This window comes from Homo sapiens, chromosome 20, assembly GCF_000001405.40.
Source record: "Homo sapiens chromosome 20, GRCh38.p14 Primary Assembly".
Lineage (NCBI taxonomy): Eukaryota > Metazoa > Chordata > Mammalia > Primates > Hominidae > Homo > Homo sapiens.
Window position 1 is genome coordinate 49,219,004 of NC_000020.11, and position 26,285 is coordinate 49,245,288.

At 48.7% G+C, this 26,285-nt stretch overlaps 2 protein-coding genes across 3 annotated transcripts in view, besides 1 other annotated feature; one reads left to right on the forward strand and one right to left on the reverse strand.

Annotated features, from left to right (window-relative positions):
- Positions 1 to 292, reverse strand: part of STAU1 (staufen double-stranded RNA binding protein 1) — a 105,957-nt gene extending 105,665 nt beyond the window's left edge. The window contains exon 1 of the mRNA NM_001319135.2: positions 233 to 292. The gene's annotated coding sequence lies outside the window, so the exon portion shown is untranslated. The remainder of the gene's footprint in view (positions 1 to 232) is intronic.
- Positions 1 to 726: an enhancer, noted in NCBI's record as "H3K27ac-H3K4me1 hESC enhancer chr20:47835541-47836266 (GRCh37/hg19 assembly coordinates)". NCBI's record gives its function as "activates a minimal SCP1, AML or CMV promoter by ChIP-STARR-seq in naive H9 embryonic stem cells {active_cell/tissue: H9 hESC(naive)}" and the evidence as "EXISTENCE:reporter gene assay evidence [ECO:0000049][PMID:30033119]".
- On the forward strand, positions 413 to 25,070 carry DDX27 (DEAD-box helicase 27). Of its 2 annotated transcripts, NM_001348187.2 has the most exons (22): positions 413 to 538; positions 2,449 to 2,595; positions 3,954 to 4,013; positions 4,265 to 4,430; positions 5,942 to 5,988; positions 6,110 to 6,196; positions 7,427 to 7,532; positions 9,712 to 9,885; positions 11,196 to 11,346; positions 12,020 to 12,112; positions 14,303 to 14,402; positions 14,565 to 14,706; positions 15,932 to 16,085; positions 17,147 to 17,228; positions 17,330 to 17,507; positions 19,946 to 20,052; positions 20,233 to 20,335; positions 22,890 to 22,984; positions 23,080 to 23,203; positions 23,591 to 23,678; positions 24,626 to 24,700; positions 24,813 to 25,070. In NM_001348187.2, the coding sequence occupies exons 1-22, from the start codon at positions 446 to 448 to the stop codon at positions 24,829 to 24,831; spliced, it is 2,391 nt and encodes a 796-aa protein (NP_001335116.2). In that variant the 5' UTR covers positions 413 to 445; the 3' UTR covers positions 24,832 to 25,070. The 2 variants fall into 2 exon arrangements, with proteins under 2 accessions (NP_001335116.2, NP_060365.8); NM_017895.8 differs by lacking the exon at positions 12,020 to 12,112.
- Positions 25,071 to 26,285: the final 1,215 nt, after the last annotated feature.

The window sequence follows — 26,285 nt, forward strand, 5'->3', positions numbered from 1 at the left end:
ACCCTGCCTCAAAAAAAAAAAAAAAAAAAAAAAAGACAAAAAATTACTTAGAATTTTACCACCCAGAAGCAATCACAGCTAACTGCTTATTGTATTTTCTTCCACAGCTTTTTTTTGTATCTAAATATACACATCTAGAGTTTATAAATGCAACTCTTTAGACTCTCTCACCCTTCCACCCTCCTCAAATACTGCCACCGTTTTGAGGCCGGAGACAATGGAATTTGCTTACCTAAAAAGCTCCGCCCCTTGATGGCGTCACACGAAACCAACCACGCCCCATATTGCCGCATGCGCACTCTTAAGAGGTCGAACGGGGAGGGCGGCAGGGGCTCTGGAACGGAAGTGACGCATGGTACTTGCGCAAAGACGACGAGGAGGCTGCGAAAAGTTAAGGGCCGGACCGCAGGCTGTGCTCGCTTCCGGAAGTGGCTTCTGCGACAACATGCTTGCGGACCTCGGCTTAATCGGAACCATAGGCGAGGATGACGAGGTGCCGGTGGAGCCCGAGTCTGACTCCGGGGACGAGGAAGAGGAGGTATGAGCACGGTTCTGGTCTTTGGGTTTCCTTGACTGCTTCCCTTCCTCGCGATTCCTCAGGTCCCTGTCCCCGAATCCTCATCATCCCCTGCCAGCCCCGGAAGTTTCCCGAAAAGGATCTCACCGGGACCCCAAGATCTTCCTCAGTTTCCCCGCCACTAGGTTATCTCTACGTCCGCCTGCTTCTTTGGCCATGTCGTTCCCTGTCTCCTTGCTGAACTCAGTATCTATTCACTGAACTGATATTTAACCACGCCCTGTGTAAGAGACGGCAGGTTTCTTACACCTTGTAAGAGGTGAAGTCAGCCATGGTTCCTGCTCAAGGAGCCATGGTTAGCTGTCCTTTCGTATGTTCATCGAGCCAGTGTTTATTGAATACTTAACGCCTGCTAGACTTAGTGTTAAGCGTTGGGGGCGTAGCAATGAACAAGGTGAGTGCCACTCTCCTGAAGCGTATGGTGGTGTGGGGGCTTGCAGACATTAAGCAGTATGGCAATTAAAGAGGTATTGGTGTTCTGAAAAGGATGCTTGCCCTTCAAACATTCAGCCCAGATGTTGTCCCCTCTGCACTCTCATCTGTCCGCCTGATAGGTTTATCCAGATGTCCCATGGCCTCTACAAATTCAACTCCTCCAAAGATGAACTTGTGTTCACTCTCATCCTGTTCCCTTCTCAAGCCAGAAACCTTAGAGTTATTCTTGACAGTTTTTTCTTCCTCACCGCCGCCAGTGCTCTGCAAGCTAGCTCATGAATCTCTCTTAAGCTTCTCCCGCCTCTCTCCATTCACACTGTACCCACCCTAGCTCCGGCTACTGCTGTCTCATGCTTGCACACCAGCACACCTGCAGTCCAAACATACTTCATCTTCATCTCTTTATCTTGAGCACTTCCAGTGTATTCTTCGCTTAGCAGCAGAGGGATCTCTGCGATACAGTCACGTTAGAGACCTCCCTTGCTTAAAACTCTCCAGCCTGCTGGTAGAGACCCCCGGGCCTGTCCACCTTGCAAAGACTCCTCAGGCAGCGTCTGGGTCCCGTACACTGTCGCCATTTCCCCGATGTCCCCTGTGGGCGCGGGCGGCCACCCAGGCCTGCTGGCTGCGGCCCCCTCTCGGACAGGCCTTGGCTCAGCCCGCTGCGTGGGAGGTCATGGGCCAGTCCCCGAGGAGCCAGGCCCCTGTACAGTGCCCGGTCACACCCATGATGCGGGGTGTGTTTGTCACACCCATGATGCGGGGGGAATTGTTTGTGTTTGTTTTTCAAGAAATGATTCAAATTGCTAAAAACAAAACAAAACAAAACAAAAAAAACTCTCCAGCCTGCTTTCACGTGGCTTTCAAGGTCCTCACGATCTTGTCCTTTCCACCTTGACTTTCATCTCTCACAGCTCTCCTCTTCATGACCAACACTCCAGTCTCATTCACTTCATTTTTTTTTAAGACAGAGTCTTGCTCGGTCGCCCAGGGTGGAGTGCAGTGGCGCGATCTCGGCTCACCGCAGCCTCCCCCTCCCGGGTTCAGGCAATCCTCCTGCCTCAGCCTCCCTAGTAGCTGGGACTACAGGCATGCGCCACCACGCCCGGCTAATTTTTGTATTTTTAGTAGAGACAGGGTTTCACCATATTGGCCAGGCTGGTCTTGAACTCCTGACCTTGTGATCCACCCACCTCGGCCTCCCAAAGTGCTGGGATTACAGGCGTGAGCCACCACACCCGTCTTTTTTGTATTTTTAGTAGAGACTGCGTTTCATCATGTTGGTCAGGCTGGTCTTGAACTCCTGACCTTGTCTGCGTGCCTTCGCCTCCTAAAGTGCTGGGATTACAGGTGTGAGCCACTGTGCCTGGCCCCTTCTTGCTTTCTATCATTCTTTATCTCAGCCCCAAAGTCACTCTGTCTCTTACTCTTCCCAGGGGCCCATTGTGCTGGGCAGACGACAAAAAGCTTTGGGGAAGAACCGCAGTGCTGATTTCAACCCTGATTTCGTTTTCACTGAGAAGGAGGGGACGTACGATGGCAGCTGGGCCCTGGCTGATGTCATGAGCCAACTCAAGAAGAAGGTGAGACTGACAGTGATGGACAGCTCCAGACTTTGGGCTATTAAGATTGGACTGTGAGTTTCAGGGCCTAGCCCTGACCTGACTGACCATCTGTTTACATTCAGCAGATACTACAACTCCTTTGAAAATAACTGGTTAAAAAAAAACAAAAGAAAATATCTGGTATACTTTTGATGAGATGGGCACAGGGATCACAAATGACTCACTGTCTTTTTTTTTTTTTTTTTTCTGAGTCTGCTTGCTGGGGAGACTCCTCTTTAATACCAAACAAAGTATGAGCACTTGCCAGGTGGTCTCCGGTGGTGTCACTGTGCAGTGTCCCTGGTTCCCACACAGCACAGCCAAAGCTACCACAGATGTCATTGTCATCTGTTTGTTTGCCAAGATCCCATGCCTTTCTGTGAATCTGGTTAAACTAGAAGATGCATCTAAGTTATTTTCCATTTCATGTCTTCAAAGAGAAATATTGCCTGTCCAGAACAGTTTAATCCAGGCTTTGCTGGTCCTTACTCTGATTGAAGTAAACCAGCATTGCCTTTTCTTTTTTTTTTTGAGACAGAGTCTCTCTCCATTGCTTAGGCTGGAGTGTAATGGCGCCATCTCAGCTCACTGCAACCTCTGCCTCCTGGGTTTAAGCGATTCTTGTGCTTTAGCCTCCCGAGTTGCTGGGATTACAGGTGCCCACCACCACGCCCAGCTAATTTTTTGTAGTTTTTTTTTGTTGTTTTTGAGATGGAGTCTCACTCTATCACCCAGGCCGGAGTGCAATGGTACCATCTTGACTCACTGCAACCTCTGCCTCCTGGGTTCAAGCGATTCTCCTGCCTCAGCCTCTTGAGTAGCTGGGATTACAGGCATGAGCCACTGTGCTCAGCCTTACCAGCACTGCATTTTCAAGATCGTCTGGAGAGGATTAAAAAAATTTTTTTTTTTGAGACGGAGTTTTGCTCTTGTTGCCCAGGCTGGAGTGCAATGGCGTGATCTCGGCTCACTGCCACCTCCGCCTCCCAGGTTCAAGCAATTCTCTTGCCTCAGCCTCCCGAGTAGCTGGGATTACAGGCATGCACCACCACACCCGGCTAATTTTGTATTTTTTTAGTAGAGACAGGGTTTCTCCATGTTGAGGCTGGTCTCGAACTCCTGACCTCAGGTGATCTACCCACCTCGGCCTCCCAAAGTGCTGGGATTACAGGCGTGAGCCACCGCGCCCGGCCTAAAATTTTTATATATATAATATGTATATGTATTTTCAGAGAAGGCCAAAATTTTTTCTTTTTCAAGTTAATTATGAAGAGTTTGTTCTCTTATTCGATGTTTCAATGAAAATTTCTTTTTCACCTCTTTATTTTTATCTGCAGAGGGCAGCCACTACATTAGATGAGAAGATTGAGAAAGTTCGAAAGAAAAGGAAAACAGAGGTGAGAAGAAAAGTGGCTATTTTTCGTTGTTAGGGCCCACTCTTTACTCTCACCACGACCCCAGCATCTCTCTGGAAGCCCTTATAGAGCGGGGCATGGCTGGGGCAGGCGCACTCTTCTGTGTGTTTGCTGTGAATCTGTACTGAGAATCCCCACAGCCGTTCATTCAGGCCGGAGAGCTTCCTATCGCTCTACTTAGGTTCTGGATTTCTAGAAGTTTCTCATCACCCTCACTTTAATTTTTTTCCCAGGATAAAGAAGCCAAGTCTGGGAAGTTGGAAAAGGAGAAAGAAGCAAAGGAAGGCTCTGAACCAAAGGAGCAGGAAGACCTTCAAGAGAATGATGAGGAAGGCTCAGAAGATGAAGCCTCGGAGACTGACTACTCATCAGCTGATGAGAACATCCTCACCAAAGCAGGTAGACGTTACGGCGGAGGTGTCAGTAATGGGGACAGGAGATCAGAAGGCATCCTCCTTTACTTTGTAGGGTTTCCTCCACTCTTCTGCACAGTTTATCTTTAAGCTGTTCTGCCTACTACATTGAACTCCTTTCTTTCTTTTTTTTTTTTTTTTAAGAGATGTTGGCTGGGTGCAGTGGCTCATGCCTGTAATCCCAGTACTTTGGGAGGCTGAGGTGGGTGTATCGCTTGAAGCCAGGAGTTTGAGACCAGCCTGGGCAACATGGTAAAACCCCATCTCTACTGAAAATACAAAAATAAGCTTGGTGTAGTGGCATGCACCTGTAATCCCAGCCACTCAGGTGGCTGAGGTACGAGAATCACTTGAAACTGGGAGGCAGAGGTTGCAGTGAGCTGAGATTGTCCCACTGAACTTAACCCTGGGCCACAGAATGAGACCCTGTCTCAAAAAACAAAACAAAAGAGATGTGGTCTCACTCCATCCACAGGCTGGAGTGCAGTAGTGCAATCATACCTCACTGGAAGGCTTGAACTCACTGGCTTAAGTGATCCTCCTGCTTTAGCTTCCTAAGTAGCTGGGCCTACAGGTGCATGCCCCTGCGCCTGGCTAATTTTTTTTTTTTGTAGGGACGGGGTCTTGCTTTGTTGCTCAGGCTAGTCTCAAATTTCTAGGCTCGAGCAGTCCTCCCGCCTTGACCTCTAAAAGTGCTGGCATTACAGGCGTGAGCCACTGTGCCCGCTGAATCCTTTCTTTTAGGTTTTCTTTTCTCTTGGGATTTTGTTTGGGTTGTTGTACTTCATAGGTAGTTTACTCTTTTCCCATCTAGCCCCATGCGGCTGCCAGATGCCACTGTGATACAAACTCATTTGGGGTGACATACTCAGATGGGTCCAGCCACATAGTGGGTGCTCAATAAGTATTTCTTTCTTTCTTTTTTTTTTTTTGAGATGGAGTCTTACTCTGTCACTCAGGCTGGAGTGCAAGTGGTACAATTTCAGCTCACTGCAACCTCTGCCTCCCGGGTGCAAGCAACTCTCCTGTCTCAGCCTCCCAAGTAGCTGGGACTACAGGCACACGCCAACACACCTGGCTAATTTTTGTATTTTTAGTAGAGATGGGGTTTCACCATGTTGGACAGGCTGGTCCCGAACTCCTGACCTCAGGTGATCCACCTGCCTCGGCCTCCTAAAGTGCTGGGATTTTAGGCGGGAGCCACTGCTTCCGCCCTCAATAAGTATTTCTTGCAGAAATGTGTGCTAAAGCATCATAATACAGTGTAGTGGTCGAGAGCCTGGTCTCTGGACCAGAGTCACTGGGTTAGCTTTCTCTCTGACCTTAGGCAAGTTACTTCACCATGCTGCCACAAAGTGTCCTCATCTGTGAAACAAGGTTGACGATGGTCACCCCTCAGAGGCTGAAGTGTGGCATTGGCACTTAGGACAGTGTCCAGCAGGATGCAAGTGCTTTGTAAGTCTGAGCCGTGGTCATCAGCTAAGTTTTTCTCCATAGATACACTCAAAGTAAAGGATCGGAAGAAGAAGAAGAAGAAAGGACAGGTGAGCTTGGGGCTGCAAGACAGTATGCAGCTTGTTGGCAAACCGAAAGGAGTTTAAGGTCGTTTGGGTTTCTTGGCTCTTTTTGTTGAATTCTCTTCTCTCTTTTGGTTTTCTGGTGTAGGAAGCAGGAGGATTTTTTGAAGATGCATCTCAGTACGATGAAAACCTCTCGTTCCAGGACATGAACCTTTCCCGCCCTCTTCTGAAGGTAGCAGCTTCTTGTCAAAAATTTTCTTTGTAGAAGCATGGTCTTGCTATGTTGTCCAAGATGGTCTCAAATTCCTGGCATCAAGCAATCCTCTTGCCTCAACCTCCCAGAGTGCTGGGATTTGAGCCACTGTGCCTGGCCAGTAGTGGCTTATTTTGGCAACCATGGGATTATTGCAGCCACCCCTAACTGGACTTTCTGCTTCTCTCTTTGCCTCCCTCAACTCTTGTCCATACAGTTGCCAGAGAACTCCCTTTTTTTTTTTTTTTTTTTTGAGACGGAGTCTCACTCTGTCGCCCAGGCTGGAGTGCAGTGGCACAATCTCGGCTCACTGCAACCTCCACCTCCCGGGTTCACGCCATTCTCCTGCCTCAGCCTCCCCAGCAGCTGGGACTACAGGCACACGCTGCCACGCCCTGCTAATTTTTTGTATTTTTAGTAGAGATGGGGTTTCACCGTGTTAGCCAGGATGGTCTCGATCTCCTGACCTCGTGATCCGCCCGCCTCAGCCTCCCAAAGTGCTGGGACTACAGGCGTGAGCCACCGCGCCCGGCCGAGAACTCTCTTAAGCAATGAGTTCCATCGTGTCCCTCCTCTTCTTCTCTGAGTCCTTCAGTACTTCCCAGTCTCACTCTTCTTAGAAGCCTGAGTCCTTATATTGACCTACAAGGCTCTGCCCCTTCTGGCCCTCTCTGACGACACCTCCTGGCACTCGTTCTGCTCTGGCCACACTGGCCTCCTTGCTGGCCCTCAAATAGGTTAGGCCTCCTCTTCCTCAGGGCCCTTGCACTTTCTGTTCCCTCTGCCTGGAAAACTCTTCCAGAAATCTTTTGGGGTGCTCTCTAGCTTCCTTCAGGGTTCAACTCAGTATCCCTTGCTCAGTGAGACCTTCCCTGGCAGCCCTACCGTGAATAGCACTCCCCCTGCTGCCCGTCTGGCCGCTGCATTGTTTTCCGCAGCATCTCTCCATATGACATGTGTTTGTTTTTTGGTCTGTTTCTACCAGACTGTAAGATTCCTGAGGGCAGGGTTTTTATTTCTTTTATTTACTGCTGTGTCCTCAGTGTCTAGAGCACCACCTCACACATAGTAGGCGTTCAGTGAATGTTTGTGGAACGAATGATTGGTGGGGATTGGTGTGGTCCCCACTTGTCTGGAAACCTGCCCTGTTTGTGTTGTGCTGAGACTTCCCCCGCTCAACCCTGTCTGACCCAGTTCTTTTTTCCTCAGGCCATTACAGCCATGGGCTTCAAGCAGCCCACCCCGATCCAGAAGGCGTGCATACCTGTGGGTCTATTGGGGAAGGACATCTGTGCCTGTGCAGCCACTGGGACAGGTGAAAAGGATAGGGACCCAGGGTGGGCAGAAGGGTGTTACGGCCAGGGCTGGGCTCTAGGTTGACTTACCAAAGGCTGGTTTGCTAAATAAATATTCTTGGTTTTTTGAACTATTTCATTTTTATTTTTTATTTTGTAGAGATAGGGGTCTCACTTTGTTGTCCAGGCTGGTCTTGAATTCCTAGGTTCAGGTTCAAGCGATCGATTTTCCCATCTTGGCCTCCCAAAGTTCTGGGATTACAGGCATGAGCCACTGTGCCTGGCCATAAAATTTTTGTAACACAAAAAAGATATACTGGTGCAATTGAGAGAGTAAAGGACTTTTTTTTTTTTTTTTTTTTTTTGAGACGGAGTCTCGCTCTGTCGCCCAGGCTGGAGTGCAGTGGCGGGATCTCGGCTCACTGCAAGCTCCGCCTCCCGGGTTCACGCCATTCTCCTGCCTCAGCCTCCCAAGTAGCTGGGACTACAGGCGCCCGCCACTACGCCCGGCTAATTTTTTGTATTTTTAGTAGAGACGGGGTTTCACCGTTTTAGCCGGGATGGTCTTGATCTCCTGACCTCGTGATCCGCCCGCCTTGGCCTCCCAAAGTGCTGGGATTACAGGCGTGAGCCACCGCGCCCGGCCGAGAGTAAAGGACTTTTAAATTTTTAACCACTTTATTTTGAAGTATTTGTAGATCAGTGGCAAGTTGCAAAAATAGTGCATAGGGTCTCTCGAATCCTTCATCAATGGTGACATCCCACATAACTGTAGGACAAAATCAAAACCAGGAAATTGGCACTGATACAACAGTGTTTCCTAGACTGCAGAGCTTACTCAGTTTACTGAAGGATTAATTTTTTGTTTTGAGATGGAGTCTCACTCTGTCACCCAGGCTGGAGTGCGGTGGCGCAATCTCGGCTCACTGCAACCTCTGCCTCCTGTGTTCAGGTGATTCTCCTGCCTCAGCCTCCCCAGTAGCTGGGTTTACAGGTGCCCGCCACCACACCCGGCTGATTTTTGTATTTTTAGTAGAGAGAGGGTTTCACCATGTTGGCCAGGCTGGTCTCGAATTCCTGACCTCAAGTGATACACCTGCCTCAGCCTCTCAAGAGTGCTGGGATTTACAGGTGTGAGCCACCGTGCCTGGCATACTGAAGGATTAATTTTGTAAGATAAACAGTGCATGAGAGGATGTCCGGTCTAGTAGTGGGCCACAAGTTTCAAAGGGTCTGATGAAGGTCATTTTCATTTAATCCTCTTGGGGTATCCCTGATCTCTGTGACCATGGCCTCCTGGCCCTGCCATATCAGAGGAGGAAATTTTTTTTTTTTTTTTTTTTGAGACAGAGTCTCGCTCTGTTGCCCAGGCTGGAGTGCAGTGGCGCAATCTTGGCTCACTGCAACCTCCGCCTCCCGGGTTCAAGCGATTCTCCTGCCTCAGCCTCCTGAGTAGCTGGGATTACAGATACACGCCACCATGCCCGGCTAATTTTTGTATTTTTAGTAGAGACAGGGTTTTACTATCTTGGCCAGGCTGGTCTTGAACCCCTGACCTCATGATCCACCTGCCTCAGCCTCCCAAAGTGCTGGGATTACAGGCATGAGCCACTGTGCCTGGCTGTATTTTTTCTTTTTTTTTTTGAGACAGAGTTTTGCTGTTGTCACCCAGGCTAGAGTGCAGTGGTGCGTTCTCAGCTCACTGCAACCTCTGCCTTCAAGTGAATCTCCTTCCTCAGCCTCCTGAGTAGCTGGGATTACAGGTGCCCACCACCAAGCCTGGCTAATTTTTATATATTTAGTAGAGACAGGATTTCACCATATTGGCCAGGCTGGTCTCGAACTCCTGACCTCAGGTGATTCGCCTGCCTTGGCCTCACAAAGTGCTGGGATTACAGGCTCCCGCCACCATGCCCAGCTAAGTTTTTTGTATTTTTAGTAGAATTGGGGCTTCACTATGTTGGCCAGGCTGGTCTTGAACTCCTGACCTCAGGTGATCCGCCTGCCTCGGCGTCCCAAAGTGCTGGGATTACATATGTGAGCCTGACCATGTGATTTGAAAGCAGAAAAAATATTCTATGAAAAATAAGTTCCTTTATTTTCCCCAACCAGACGTAGTTTTTCTGTGCTCTGGTGAAAACCTAACCCTGGAGGGAGCTAAACTTCTTCTCATTGCTTCCTTGCTGTCCCTCCCTCCAGGTAAAACTGCCGCCTTTGCCCTGCCTGTTTTGGAGCGTCTGATTTATAAACCCCGCCAGGCTCCAGTCACCCGCGTGCTGGTGCTAGTGCCCACCCGAGAGCTGGGCATCCAGGTGCACTCTGTCACCAGACAGCTGGCCCAGTTCTGCAACATCACCACCTGCCTGGCTGTGGGTGAGTTTCTGGCCAAGGGCTGCCAGCCCCTGAGAGACTGTGGTGGGGTGGAGGATGGATGTGCCCCGCCATCTGTTGGTGTTGGTGACAGGTGCCAGGAGAGGCCTTTGTGTTGATTGAATCCACTTAAAAACTGGAAGACTTTTTTTTTTTTTTTTTTTTTTGAGACGGAGGAGTCTCGCTCTGTCGCCCAGGCTGGAGTGCAGTGGCGCAATCTTGGCTCACTGCAAGCTCCGCCTCCCGGGTTCACGCCATTCTCCTGCCTCAGCCTCCCCAGTAGCTGGGACTACCGCCACCACGCCTGGCTAATTTTTTGTATTTTTAGTAGAGACAGGTTTTCACCGTGTTAGCCAGGATAGTCTCGATCTCCTGACCTCGTGATCCGCCTGCCTTGGCCTCCCAAAGTGCTGGAATTACAGGCATGAGCCACCGCACCCAGCCGACATGTTTTCATAGTGCTTTAGGTGGGTGGGATTTGATTGAGACTTAACCAACCTTCACAAATGAAACCTGAAAACTATGAACATTTTTTTCGTGGTACTGAACAAATTTGGGGTATAATTTCTGCTCTGTGAGAATAATGAATCAAATATTACTTTGGGCAGCGTTTTTCCAATGAAGTTATATGATAGTGTTATCTAGCCTGCATTTTGCCCTCCTTGTGCTATTGGAAGTCAGAAGTGATCTTTGTCTCCCTGTAACAGACACCTCATCACTTTCCTCAGCTGCTTCTCTTAGTCCTTGAATGTTTCAGGCATTCTCTTTTTTTTTTTTTTTTGAGAGGAAGTCTCACTCTGTTGCCCAGGTGGGAATGCAATGGCATGATCTTGGCTCACTGCAACCTCCACCTCCTGGGTTCAAGTGATTCTCCCACTGCTTTCCAAGTAGCTGGAATTATAGGTGTGCACCACCATGCACAGCTAATTTATGTATTTTTAATAGAGATGGGGTTTCGCCATGTTGGGTAGGCTGGTCTCGAATTCCTGACCTGAGGTGATCCACCTGCCTTGGCCTCCCAAAGTGCTGGGATTGATTACAGGCATGAGCCACCTCGCCCAGCCCATGCATTCTCTTCTGAAGTGCTTTTGTGTCATCATCATTGTTGATTTTTGCACTTAGCACAATTTTAATGACATGATCTGTCTTTCCCAGTGCGTTTCTGGGAAACCCATGTGCTTGGGCCTTTGTCAGTCTTACTCTCTCAGTGGTTTTCTCTGCATCTGGCCTGAGGCCTGGTGAGTGGCTGGTGCTCAGTCAACACCCATGAGCAGCTGACCTGGCCGCCTGGTGGGGCTCTCTTCTCTTTGCAGGCGGCTTGGATGTGAAGTCTCAGGAAGCAGCTCTTCGGGCAGCGCCTGACATCCTCATCGCCACCCCAGGCCGGCTCATCGATCACCTCCACAACTGCCCTTCCTTCCACCTGAGCAGCATCGAGGTGCTCATCCTGGACGAGGCTGACAGGTGCTCCTCACAGCCTGGGGCCCAGGGCACTGTGGGGTTCCAAGGCCCAGAACCTGGATGTGGACCTGCCACACTGCGTTATTCTTTGTGGCTCTGGGCCATGGCTGTTGGTGTGCGATACCAGATCAGCCACTTGTGCTGGGGCCTCTGCCCAGCCTTAGCCCATGTTTTCCTCTTTTTTCTCTTTCTCTATTATGGTGGTTAAGTGATAAGGCTGGTCAAATGTTGGTCCTGCCACTTCCTAAGGGAGATTTGGAAATATTTAGATTCTCAAAACAAATCTTTTCTCATTTGTAAATGGGAGATAAGGACATACGCACACCATAGTGTTGAGGAGCTGAGGAGGGAGGAAGAGGAAGTGCCAGCGTGGCTCCCACAGGGCCTCTGTGACTGCAGTGGGGACTCCCTCTCCCCCCACCCCGCCCCCCAGCTCTCTGTTCCTCTCTGTGCCATCTGCTCACCTCTTTGCTCTGGGACTGAACAGAAGGAACTCTTCCTGAACTCTGGACTGAGGCTGGAGGTGGGGCAGGGGAAGGAGCTCGCAGACAGCCCCAGGGCATGCTAAGGTTGCAGGCCCTTAATCCCTGACTCTTCACCAGCTTGGGGAATGGCAGCTCCATCCTTCCAGCTGTTCTGAATTCTTAGCGTGTCCTCCTGTTTTCACATTCCACAGCCCGCCTGTCGACACAGCCTGGCCACACGCCCCCACTTTGTGGCTTCTGCATTTGCCATTTCCTCAGCCTGGAGCCATCTCCTGCCCCTTCAGGTTTCTGTTCCAGTTGTTATCTTGTTAGTGGGGCCTTTGCTGGCTGCCCTGTGACGGTCCTGCCCTGACTTGCTCCTCCCGTCCTGCCTGCATTGTCACTGAGGGTTCATGGAGTGCCAAGTCCCCCTCTCTCCCTAGGATACAGTATTCATGAAGGGGCTACTGCTATACTCCCATGAACAAGGGCATGTCTAGTATATAGCAGGCGCTCAGTAAATACTTGTTGAATAACCAATTGGCTGACTCCCCCAGAACAGAAGACCCATTCCTGAGGCCTAAAGGATGAAAAAGAGATCATTTTAAGCCAAGGGGATGTGATCTGGTTTAGGTTTTAAAGGGGGAGGGAAACTATTCAAGTATGTACCTCAAAAGACCAAAAAAGGCGGAGGAAGTATTTGAGATTTAGATCAGGAGACAGCTCTGTGTGATACCTGGACCTAGACTGTAGCCTGCACTGGGGAGAGAAATGCTGTAAGGGGTTGGGCTTGCTGAAAACATGGAATCCAAGGAATCTCACAGATTACTATTATGTATAAAGAGAAAGAGGATCCTTTACAGTGGCGTGATCTGGCAGACACTATAGCCAAGTGACCAACCTCACATCCACAGTTCTGGAACAAACCGGCCGTCAGTATCTCATGATGGAGCGTGAATGCAGGGCACAGCTGTGCCCAGCAGCGCTGTCCCCATGAGGATTTCTCTGAATCCAGTTACTGAGAAATAATTATACGAATCCAGACTGTGAGAAGGATGAGGGGCCTTTTCGTTCCTTTTTTTTTTTTTTTTGAGTCAGGGTCTTGCTTTGTCACCCAGGCTGGAGTGCCATGGTGTGAACACCAGCTCATTGCAGCCTCTACTTCCTAGACTCAGGTGATCCTCCCATCTCAGTCCCCCGACGTAGCTACTACTACAGGCACATGCTACCATGCCTGGCTTATTTTATATTAAATAAATAGAGACGGGGTCTCGCTATGTTGTCAAGGCTGGTCTTGAACTCCTGGGCTTAAGACACCCTTCTGCCTCGGCTTCCCAAAGTTTTGGGATTATAGGCATGAGCCACCTTGCCCGGCCCCAGCTCATTTTTGTATTTTTTGTGGAGATGAGGTTTTGCTATGCTGCCCAGGCTGAGGGGGCTTTTCTAGATGCAGGAAGACTAGAGACGTGGCAGCCAGTTGCAAGGCAGGAACTTTGGTTCTTGCACTAAAACAAAAGGTAACTATAAAATAAAACTTGGCCTGGCGTAGTGGCTCATGCCTATAACCCCAGCACTTTGGGAGGCCGAGGCAGGCGGATCACCTGAGGTAGGGAGTTCAAGACCAGCCTGACCAACATGGAGAAACCCCATCTCTACTAAAAATACAAAATTAGCCGGGTGCGGTGGCTCACGCCTGTAATCCCAGCACTTTGGGAGGCCAAGGCAGGCGGATCATGAGGTCAGGAGATTGAGACCATCCTGGCTAACACAGTGAAACCCTGTCTCTACTAAAAATACAAAAATATTAGCCGGGTGTGGTGGCGGGCGCCTGTGGTCCCAGCTACTCCGGAGGCTGAGGCAGGAGAATGGCGTGAACCTGGGAGGCGGAGCTTGCAGTGAGCGGAGATCGCGCCACTGCACTCCATCCTGGGCGACAGAGCGAGACTCCGTCTCAAAAAAAAAAAAAAAAAAAAAAAAAAATTAAGTGGGTGTGGTGGTGCATGCCTGTAATCCCAGCTATTCAGGAGGCTGAGGCGGGAGAATCGCTTGAACCCGGGAGGCCGAGATTGTGCCATTGCACTCCAGCCTGGGCAACAAGAGTGAAACTCCATCTCAAAAAAAAAAAAAAAAAGACACTTGGAACCTGGAGGCAGCTGAAGGAATTTGAACGTGGCCTGTGCTTTAGATATTCACGCACTTGAAAGTCTTGGGTGTGTTGATGAAGTTGTGTTTCTGTAAGAGAAGGTCCTAGTGCTTAGGAGTTGTGTGCTGAAATATTTGGGGTAAGGTGTTATAACATCTGTGACTGACTTGCCACAAAAAGACAAAGCAAATGTGGCAAAATGATAATTCTTGGTGAAAAGATAAAATAATAAAATAGATGAGTCCTAAATGTAACCAATGACAACAAACAGCAGCCGGTATGCAATCCCGTGTCCCTCACTGTGACCGAAGAGCACTCTCTCCATTTCTGCCATGTCTTTCTCTGCTCCCAGGATGCTGGATGAGTACTTTGAGGAGCAGATGAAGGAGATCATCCGAATGTGTTCCCACCACCGCCAGACCATGCTCTTCTCGGCCACCATGACAGACGAGGTGGGCCGAGGGACTTCTCTGTGGCGGGTGGCAGGTGTGCCCAGAGGGGGCCATGCAGAGGACCCTGGCTGGGCTTGAGGGGGTTTGCCTGGGGTGAGCACTGCTTCCTCCTTCCCTACCACCTTGCAGAGAGCTGAGGAAACCTGGCTTTGTGCTTGGCAGGTGAAAGATCTGGCTTCTGTCTCCTTGAAGAATCCTGTCCGGATATTTGTGAACAGCAACACAGATGTGGCTCCCTTCCTGCGGCAGGAGTTCATCCGGATCCGGCCTAATCGTGAAGGAGACCGGGAAGCCATCGTGGCAGGTGGCAGCACAGGGCAAGCCTGGGCAGGGTGGGCTGGTCAGCTTCCTTGAGCTCGTAGTATCCATGCTGAAGTGCTTGGTTTCCCCTGCGCCTCTGCCGTCCAGTCTTCCCCAGCGCAGAGGCTGCACTGCACTAATGATGATCCGCTGCCTCTCTTCTCCACGGGTCCTTCCTCCCTTTGCTTTATCGCCTCACCAATCCTCTTTGTGTCCTGTTCAACTCCCAACCACTTGGCATCAGCTGCTGTTGTACCCGTCAGTCCAGACCACTGTTCTCTGTCGCCTGGATCGTTGCGCAGCCTCTTGCTCGAGCTCCCTGCTTCCACTCGGCCTTTTGTGACTCTCTGCATTGCAGAGCATTTACAATGATTGCTTGCAGAAGACATTCGTACTTATTATGTCCTTATTTGAACACCCTGCGGTGGCTTCCATTGGTCTTAGACTAAAATCCAAACATCTTAGTTTTTTAGGACTCTTCGGGCCTGGCCCTTGCCTGCCCGGGATCCCAGCCTTGGAGGCTTGCTCATGGCTCCAGCCACATTCGCCTGCTTGCACTTTTTTTTTTTTTTCTTTGAGGCAGAGTCTTGCTCTGTCGCCCAGGCTGGAGTACACTGGCACGATCTTGGCTCAATGCAGCCTTTGCCTCCTGGGTTCAAACGATTCTCCTGCCTCAGCCTCCCGAGTAGCTGGGATTACAGGCACTTGCCACCACTTCTGGCTAATTTTTGTATTTTTAGTAGAGATGGGGTTTCACCGTGTTTGCCAGGCTGGTCTTGAACTCCTGGCTTCAAGTGATCTGTCCTCCTTGGTCTCCCAAAGTGCTGGGATTACGGGCATGAGCCACTACATCCAGCCGCCTGCTTGCACTTCTCACTATAAGCTGGTTCCTGCCTCCGGGCCTTCATGTTTGCCATTTCCTCTGTCTAGAATCTTCCCCTGGATCTTCCCATGGATCATCTGCCTTGTCATTCAACCTAATGTCACCTCTTCAGAGAGGCCAGCCCTTAGCTGCTTCCCCCTCGTCCCTGCACTCTCTCTCACAGCATTTTTCACCCCCCAGGAATTGGCTTCTCTGTATCCACCCTGGAATTTGAGTTCCACAGGACAGGGACAGTGCCTGTCTATCCAGTGCCAGGCACAGTGACCATACTTTGTGGATGAGGAGGGGGTACATGTTGAATAAGAGCCTAGAAACAGCTGCCAGCTCAGTCCTCTCTTCCTGCCAGCTTTGTTGACGAGGACCTTCACTGACCATGTGATGCTGTTCACGCAAACCAAGAAGCAGGCCCACCGCATGCACATCCTCCTGGGGCTCATGGGGCTGCAGGTGGGTGAGCTCCATGGCAACTTGTCACAGACGCAGCGGCTGGAGGCCCTCCGGTAACATTTGGGGTGGGGACTGAGGCTCCCACCATCCTTCTGGGGCAGAGAGGATAGAAGGAAGAAGAGGACCCTGAGCATTCTATTAGAACATTAGCAGGGGACACATAGCATGATCTTGGCCTTGAACATTTTAACCTAACCACTGTGAGGTCATGTCTTAGATGTGTTTAGAACTCTAACTTCATAGTCAGAGATGACCCTCATGTCCTTGGATGCTTGTCCCTAGCATGGGAGCTGTTGTGTGGCGTGACAGAGGAAGCTGGCTTGGAAAGGCAACACATGGTCTCTTCTTGGAAGCTTTCTGAGAGTGGTGAACATTCCTGGGTCTGATTGAACAAGATTTAGAGTCAAAGTTAGCAGCCATTACTTGAGCATCTACTTTGCCAGGCACTGTGCTGCGTGCTTTCCATGTGATTTCTTGTTTAGTCCTCAGAGAATGGCATCAAGGTGGTTGGCAAGGAGGAACCCTTTAGAACTCTCCACCTAACCCTGTTCATCAGTGGGTGCTGAAAGGTGTTTGTTAAAGATAGGCTGATTTAAACTGAGACAATTGCCTATGCTGTTAGCAGATACAGAACTACGTTTGCTCTGTATGATGGGTTGTTGAAGGGTGGGTGTAAATATCCCATGTGCTCACATTTAGAATCTATCCCTATTTTTTTTTTTTTTTGAGACGGAGTCTCGCTCTGTCGCCCAGGCTGGAGTGCAGTGGCGCAATCTTGGCTTACTGCAAGCTCCGCCTCCCAGGTTCACGCCATTCTCCTGCCTCAGCCTCCCAAGTAGCTGGGACTACAGGCGCCCGCCACCATGCCTGGCTAATTTTTTGTATTTTTAGTAGAGACGGGGTTTCACCGTGTTAGCGAGGATGGTCTCGATCTCCTGACCTCGTGATCTGCCCACCTCGGCCTCCCAAAGTGCTGGGATTACAGGCGTGAGCCACCGTGCCCAGCCTCTATCCCCATTTTAATGCCCTGTTCTGTCCTCTGCTGGCTCAGGCTCTTGTGGAGCATTATTAGGGGAGGGTGTCTGGATGAACAGCTGTTTGTGACTGTTTCTAGGCGTTTTAAGGATGAACAGATTGACATCCTCGTGGCCACTGATGTGGCAGCCCGTGGACTTGACATTGAGGGGGTCAAAACGGTGAGCAGACACTATCTTCCTTGGACTTTTGGTGGAAGTCTTTTTGCCTCTTCGCACCCCCCTTCCCTTGCCAGGCCTGACGTTCATTTTTGACCTTCTAGGTAATCAACTTCACAATGCCTAATACCATCAAACATTATGTCCACCGGGTGGGGCGAACAGCACGTGCTGGCAGGGCTGGGCGCTCAGTCTCTCTGGTGGGAGAAGATGAGCGGAAGATGCTGAAGGAGATTGTAAAAGCTGCCAAGGCCCCTGTGAAGGCCAGGATACTTCCCCAAGGTGAGCAGGCACCCCTGTGGCAGTGCAGAATGGCTCGGTGGGCGGGGCAAGGACAGAGTGTAATGGCTGAGAGCAGGTACTTTGCAGTTCAGAGCCAGATTTGAATTCCAGCCCTGCTGCTTCCTTGCCGAGTGACCATGTGCAGGTTTCACCTCACCTCTCTGAGCTTGCCTCCTGTGTGTAGAAGGGAATTATGACAGAATTGTAAACACAGTGCCCCATTTAGGTGGAAATTGAGAAGAGAAGGTTGCTTGGGGCAAAATTCTCACTAAACTCCTCTTTCCCTTACTGTTGGTGGTGGGGAAGAGAGAGATCAGTACTCATTCTTTTTGGGTCCTTTCATTGATTTTGTTCCTCTGATCTGTGGGGGTCTTATAAAGCACATCCTCTTTAAAGTCTTTTTTTGTTTTGTTTTGTTCTTGAATTCCTAGGCTCAAGCAATCCACCCACCTTCTGCCTCCCAAAGTGCCGGGATTAACAGTAATGAGCCACCATGCCCAGCCTTAAAAATTTTTAAAGTTATAAAAATAATACATATTTAGCCTGAGCATGGTAGCTCTTGCCTATAACCCAGCACTTTGGGAGGCCAAGGCAGGAGGATTGCTAGAGGCCAGGAGTTCAAGACCAACCTGAGCAATATAGTGAGCTGCCTGTCTCTAAAAAAAAAAAATTAGCTGGGCATGGTGGTGTGTGCCTGTAGTCCCAGCTATTCAGAAGGCTGAGGCAGGAGATCTCTTAAATCCAGGAGGTTGAGGCTGCAGTGAGCTATGATTGTGCCACTGCACTGCAGCCTGGGCAAAAGTGCAAGACCCTGTCTCTAAAAAATGAAATGAAAAGTACGTATTTATTGTTGGAAATTAGTAAATAAAAAAAAATGTAATTCTGTGTCAAAGAGCTCACCACTGGTAGCATTTAGGTGTATGTCTTTTCAAACCATTTTTCCTTTCTTAAATGTCCCTTTTATTTTTTTCATTTTCATTGTCTTCATTTAATCAGCGACTAGTTATTGAGTCCTGCTGTGGGCCTAGTGCTATTGATTCTGTTCTAGGTGCTGGGGATACAGCAGGGAACAAAGCAGAGCTGTGGTTCTGGGAGAAAGAGACAATAAATAAGCTAACAGTAGATGTGATTGAGAACAGCAGGAGGAGACTGCCTCATTAAGCTGTTAAGGAAAGGCCTCTGCACAGCTGGCATTGGAGCTGAGTCCTGGGTGATCGGAATGAGGCAGCCATGAGAGGTCTGAGGGCAAAGTGCTGAGCTGAGAGAACAAGGGTGGAGGCTGTGAGGTAGGAACGAGCTTAGTGTGTGAGAACAAGAGAAAGGTCAGGAGGCTCAGGCGTGGTGAGCAGGGACACACAGAAGATCAGAGCGGTAGGCAGGGGCCACTCTGAGTCTGGGGGATATGAAGCAGAGAAGGCACACATTACAGACACCATTTCCTATGTCAGTAAATGCACAGCTAAATTATTTTCATCAGTTACACAGTATTAGTAGTCACCCTTATTTTATTTTATTTAATTTATTTTTGAGATGGAGTCTTGCTCTGTTGCCAGGCTGGAGTGCAGTGGTGCGATCTCGGCCCATTGCAACCTCTGCGTCCCGGGTTCAAGTGATCCTCCTGCCTCAGCCTCCCAAGTAGCTGGGACTACAGGTGCATGCCACCACGCCCAGCTAATTTTTATATTTTTAGTACAGGTGGGGTTTCACCATGTTGTCCAGGATGGTCTCGATCTCTTGACCTCGTGATCCACCCGCCTTGGCCTCCCAAAGTGCTGGGATTACAGGCTTGAGCCACTGCCTTATTTTGTTTAAGATAAGGTCTTGCTTTGTTGCCCAGGCTGGGGTACAGGGGTGCGATCATAGCTTACTGTTGCCTCGAACTCCTGGGTTCAAGCAGTTCTTCTCCTCAGCCTCCTGAGTAGGTGGGACTACAGGTGTGTGCCACCATGATGGCTAATTTTTTTTTTTTTTTTAGATGGAGTCTCGCTCTTTTGCCCAGGCTGGAGTGTAGTGGTGTCATCTTGGCTTACTGCAGCCTCCGCCTCGTGGGTTCAAGCAGTTCTCCTGCCTCAGCCTTCTGAGTAGTAGCTGGGATTACAGGCGTGTGCCCCCACACCCAGCTGATTTTTGTATTTTTAATAGAGACGGGGTTTCACAGCATTGGCCAAGCTGGTCTCAAACTCCTGACCTCAGGTGATCCACCTGCCTTGGCCTCCCAAAGCGTGGGATTACAGGCATGAGCCACTGTGCCTGGCTTTTTTTTTTTTTTTTTTTTTTTTTGTAGAGACAGAGTCTGGCCACGTTGCCCAGGCTGGCCTCAAATTCCTGGGCTCAAGCAATCCTCCCACCTCAATCTCCCAGAGTGCCGGGTTACAGGTGTGAGCCACCATGCCTGGCCTACCCTTATTTGTAAATCCTTTTTATTTTCTCCCATTGAGATGTCATCCTCAAATTCCGGGACAAGATTGAGAAAATGGAGAAAGATGTGTATGCAGTTCTGCAGCTAGAGGCGGAGGAAAAAGAGATGCAGCAGTCAGAAGCCCAGGTGAGGCTGCGAGGCGGGATCTTGTTCACAAGGCTGCTCAGTAAGCAAGCTGCTGCATCCCTGCTGGTGCTGCCCTTCTGAAATGTTTCTCCCATCAGAGCCCCAGGCATTTGCAGCCCGTGGCTTCCTGTGTTAGTAGATACGGGTTTCACGGCAGGCATCCTTTTGTTATCTCTACAGATCAATACAGCAAAGCGGCTCCTGGAGAAGGGGAAGGAGGCAGTGGTCCAAGAGCCCGAGAGGAGCTGGTTCCAGACCAAAGAAGAGAGGAAGAAGGAGAAAAGTAAGTCAGGGAGGTTCCGCAGAAATCTAAATACAGAATTACCCCACAGGACTCAGCAGTTCCATTTCCTAGTTCTATACTGTAAAGCAGCGGTCCCCAACCTTTCGGCACCAAGGACCAGTATCGTGGAAGACAATGTTTCCACATTTGGGGTGTGGGGGTTGCATTAGATTCTCATAAGGAGTGCACACCCTAGATCCCTCGCATGCGCACTTCACAATAGGGTTAGTGCTCTTATGAGAATCTAATGCTGCTGCTGATCTGACAGGAGGCCAAGCACAGGTGGCAATGCTTGGTTGCCCAATGCTCACGTCCTGCTGTGCAGCCTGGTTCCTAATACGCCATGGACTGGAACCGGTATGCAGCCTGGGGTTGGGGACCACTGTTGTAAAGGATGTAAACAGGGACTCAAACAGATACTTAGATGCCAGTGCTCTTTGAATTACTGTTCATAATAGCAAAAAGGTGGAAACAAACTATGTTCATCAACAAGTGAATGGATAAACAAAATTTGGGGTGTGTGTTTATATACACACAATGGAATATTATTCAGCCATGAAGTTCTGATACATGCCATAAGGATGAACCTTGAAAATCTTAAGCTGAATGAAATAATCCAGACACAAAGGGACAAATACTGTCTGATTTCACTTACCTGAGATATCTAGCTAGGCAAATTCACAGAGACAGAAATAGATTATAGATTACTTAGGGCTAGGGGAAGGGGGGTTATAGGAAATTATTAGTGGTTGCAGAGCTTCTGTTTTCAATGATGTCAGTGAGTAGCCTCCTGATAGGAGTTTTGGAAACAGATAGTGGTGATGGTTGTACAATGTTGTGAATGTAAGTAATGCCACTGAATTGTATACTTAAGATTGGGTAAAATGGCAGCCTTTGTTTTATATGTGTATATATAACCACAATAAAAATAATTTTAAAAAAGTTAGGAGATATTTAATACAGATTTCCTCTCCATCTCCCTTTAAAAAAGACCCAAAACACTTATAAGTTCACATTGTTCTATGCCTCGCCTTTTCACTTAATTTTGAAGCTTAGAGATATGTTTTATATAGGCCCACATATGCTGCCCTTTTTGTTTTTTGTTTTCAGACGGAGTCTTGCTCTGTCACTGAGGCTGGAGTGCAGTGGCGCAATCTCGGCTCACTGCAAGCTCTGCCTCCTGGGTTCACCCCATTCTCCTGCCTCAGCCTCCTGAGTAGCTGGGACTACAGGTGCCTGCCACCGCACCTGGGTAATTTTTTGTATTTTTAGTAGAGATGGGATTTCACCGTGTTAGCCAGGATGGTCTCGATCTCCTGACCTCGTGATCCGCCTGCCTTGGCCTCCCAAAGTGCTGGGATTACAGGTGTGAGCCACTGCACTCGGCCCCCTTTTTGTTTTTTTTAATGGCTTCATGTTCTTCCATCATATGAGTAGATTGTTGAGGGACATTGAGGTTGTTTACAATCATTTGTCATCCAGCCTGGGCAGCATGGCAAAACCCCATCTCTACTAAAAATCAAAAAATTAGCCAGACATGGTGGTGCATGCCTATAGTCCAACTACTTGAGAGGCTGAGGTAGGAGGATCACCTGAGCCTGGGGAGGTCAAGGTTGCAGTGAGCTAAGATTCTGCCACTGAACTGCAGCCTGGGCGGCAGAATGAGACCCCGACTCAAACCACCACCACCAACAACAAAAAACCCAAAAAATAATCATTTGTCATTACAAACAAGTGATGTAGGGAATAACCTTGCACATATGCCCTTTTACAATTAAGCAAGTGTATATTTGGCTTGCAGGATTAATTCCTAAAAGTGGAATAGTGGGTCAGAGGATATTTGTATTTCTAGTTTTGTTAGAGGTTGCAAAATTTCCCTCCTAGAGGGTATACCAGCAGTTTTAGAAATGCTGTCTATATTTGATGGGACAAAATAAGGGTGTATATAACTTAAATTTCTGATAAAAATAGAGTTATAACTGTATTGGTGGGTAAAGTAGTAAAGTGACCTAAATCTTCATCCTTCATAGCAGGAGGTTTGTAATGAGTATCTTAAGTGGATTGAGAAATAGTCAAAAAAGCATGTTATTTAGTGAGATGGAGGTAATCAGTGGAAGAAGTGCTTGCGGCTTTTCTTTTCTTTTTTTTTTTTGAGGCAGGGTCTCGCTCTGTCGCCCAGGCTGGAGTGCAGTGGCGCGATCTCAGCTCACTGCAGCCTCCCCTTCCTAAGTTCAAGCAATTCTCTCACCTCAGCCTCCCAAGTAGCTGGGATTACAGGTGCACCACCATGCCCAGCTAATTTTTGTATTTTTAGTAGTCGGGGTTTCACCATGTTGGCCATGCTGATCCCAAACTCCTGACCTCAGGTGATCCACCCACCTCAGCCTCCCAAAGTGCTGAGACTACAGGCACGAGCTACTGCACTCGGCCAAGAAGTGCTTGCCGCTTTTCATTTTAATCTGCTAACTTACCAATTGAAAACGTGCACTTCTTATCGTAAGCTTAAAAAAAGATAAAATCATCCCTGAAATCTTATGCTTTCTTCTCATCCCAGTTGCCAAAGCTCTGCAGGAATTTGACTTGGCCTTAAGAGGAAAGAAGAAAAGGAAGAAGTTTATGAAGGATGCCAAAAAAAAGGGGGAGATGACAGTGAGTGGCCTCCCTTTTGGAGTTTGGGCCCACTCGGTGGGGTGGGTCAGAGTGGCCTGGTGTGTTCCACACTCACACCTCCCCACTCCCCCTAGGCAGAGGAAAGGTCTCAGTTTGAAATCCTCAAGGCGCAGATGTTTGCTGAACGGCTAGCGAAGAGGAATCGCAGAGCCAAGCGGGCCCGAGCAATGCCCGAGGAGGAGCCAGTGAGAGGTCCTGGTAGGTGAATGGGGAGCCCAAAGGAGCTTGTACAAGGTTTTCCCTGAAACCTGTGCTTTGGGTCAGGGAGAAAATCTGAGGGATGATGACAGTAGCCCACATTATTTGAGTAATTAGTATGTACCAATGTGTACAGCTATCCCTCCACGGTCTAAGGGGCGCAGTGACCTTGTGGTTGTTGAGAACTAGGATTTGAACGCCAGCTTTTCTGACTCCGGAGCCTAAGGCCTCACCAGCTGCTACTTGGAGGAGCTGGTGAGGACAGAATGAAAATAGTCTTTGGATGCCAGAGTATCCACTGAACTTGGAATCATTACCTTGAACTTAAGGGGATTTAGGAGCTTGGGCCAAAGACAACCATATGTAACCCATTCTCTCTGTGCACAGCCAAGAAGCAAAAGCAGGGGAAGAAATCTGTATTTGATGAAGAACTCACCAACACAAGCAAGAAGGCCCTGAAACAGTATCGAGCTGGGTAGGATTTTAAGTCATCATGGAGCCCTTGGTATTCTTTTTTTTTTTTTTTTTTTTTTTGAGACGGAGTCTCGCTCTGTCGCCCAGGGTGGAGTGCAGTGGTGCATCTTAGCTCACTGCAAGCTCCACCTCCTGGGTTCAAGCAATTCTCCTGCCTCAGTCTCCCAAGAAGCTGGGACTATAGGCGCACGCCACCATGCCCAACTAATTTTTGTATTTTTAGTAGAGATGGGGTTTCACCATGTTTGCCAGGATGGTCTCGATCTCTTGACCTCCTGATCCACCCGCCTCAGCCTCCCAAAGTGCTGGGATTACAGGCTTGAGCCACCGTGCCCGGCGAGCCCTTGGTATTCTAATGGAAGCTATGAGTCTTCTGCCTCCTTCCCCATTTCCAGTTTTTGCACACCTATAGCTTTATACTATGTAAATTCAAGGGTACCTGTCTGTTCTCCACCCCCCACCCCTCTCAGAGCCACCTGAGGATCCCAAGGTGAGAACAGGAGAGGGGTGTTCAGTTAGCACTGTTCCTGCCTTGGAGGTGAAATAGTACATTGTTGGGTTCAGAAATGGAGCTTTCCTTCAGGGGAGTGATAACTCTTTCATCTCAAGTTCCATCCTGCAGAACCCCAGAGAATCCTGGCTTGCTCTTAGGAATATGTTGTCCCACACCATTTTCCCCAGCCCAAGGTTGGGGCAGGGGCAGACTAAGCTTCCCAAGTAGTGGTATATACCTAAGAAGGGCCTCTTCCAACCTTGTTTTAAAATTGGGCCCTGACTTCCAGAAACACGTTATCAGGTGGAAACACATAAAGGCTTAGAACTTAGGGCCTGAAAATGATGCATCCCAGAGATGCTACTGCTTCATGTAGGAGCTGGGGAGGGTGGGGGTGAGACAACACCCATTTGTTCAACAGTTTGCTCATTTCAGCATGTCATCTTCTCTCACAGCCCTTCCTTTGAAGAAAGGAAACAGTTGGGCTTGCCCCACCAGAGACGAGGAGGAAACTTTAAATCTAAATCCAGGTGATACTGGCTGTTTTGGAGGGGCATAGGTTTTGGGATTAGAGATAAAAACCTTTCATGGAAAAGAAGCTTCTCCATCCTCATTCTGGTCTTAACTCTGATTTTCTTACAGATACAAGAGGAGGAAGTAGCTGTCGTGGCCTGAAGAAATTCATGGGGGCAGCCCTTAAATCCCTTCCCTGTGGGAAGTCATCCTGGCTGGTCTGTCTTTTCTCCATTTGTTTAAAAAAAAAACAAAAACAAAAAACAACACTTTGGTGTGGTGGTATGGTACGTAGCTATTTTCCTAAGCATGTCTGTCAATCTCCCTTCTTGCTGATTAGCTTTCATATGACTATATTAAATGGAAGTATTTTTGGGAAAAGAGAAACCAATCCAAGTGTATATCTTATTACTATCTCTTCCTCAATGGCAAATGTGCCCACAGTCTACTAGCTTGGTATCACCACATACAGTTGGTATGCATAATCTTTATGCTTGTAGAGGAACAGGGTATGGAGTGAGGAAATTCTTGGTAGAAGTTCTCTTCTAGCCTGGGGAACATAACAAGACCCTGTCTCTTAAAAAAAAACAACAACAACAGAAAAGTTCTCTTCTGTTGATACTCTAGAACTAAGAGCTAAATGATAGCTGAAGAAGATAGCTAAATGATAACTCTTAGTTCTAAAACATCAACAGGGGAGAACTTTAGCATGAATGCCAACCATGCACCAGATATTCTGTGTGCTGAATAGAATCCAGTCAACTCACTGCACTCCTGTGAGGCAGGCAGTGATATCCTCATTTTCCAATAAACAGAGGCTTGGAAAGACTAACTTTCCAGAGTTGCACAGCTGGGAATTCAGGTTTTCAACCAACATCTACTTGAACCCTCACCTTACCTCTTGCTGCTGTGCTGTGGAAATGCTGCTGGAGAAATGGAAGCCCGAAAAGGACAGAAGGAGCCTTGACACCATAAATTAGTTACTTGCTGCAAAAACCAGAGTCTCTTGTCCTCCAGGCTGGAGTGCAATGACACGATCTTGGCTCATTGCAACCTCCACCTCCCGGGTTCAAGCGAATCTCCTGCCTCAGCCTCCCAAATACCGGTGATTACAGGTGCCCGCTACCATGCCTGGCTAATTTTTGTATTTTTAGGAGAGACAGGGTTTCACCATGTTGGCCAGGCTGGTCTTGAACTCCTGACCTCAGGTGATCCACCACCTCAGCCTCCCAAAGTGCTGGGATTACAGGCTTGAACCACTGTACCTGGCCAAAAACCAGTTTTGATCCTGTAAGAACGTCGGTTCTCATCCTTTTCTGACTCAGAATGAGATGAAAGCTGTGGGGCCCCACCTGGAAAACTGTATAGTTTGTTATAATTTCAGGGAGTACTTACCACCCTACCCCCAGCTTAAAAATTATAAGTTATCCAGTAGCACATACCCTAGATACTAAAGAGTGTGTTCAAAGCTATTCATTCAGGCTGCACCTAAGTCACCAACAGAGGGTCCAATTCAGAAAATGATGGCACAACTGTGTGATGGAGTACAGTTCAGACTACTGTCTTACTGGATTTTACAGAAAGTAGGTTATTAGGCTAAAA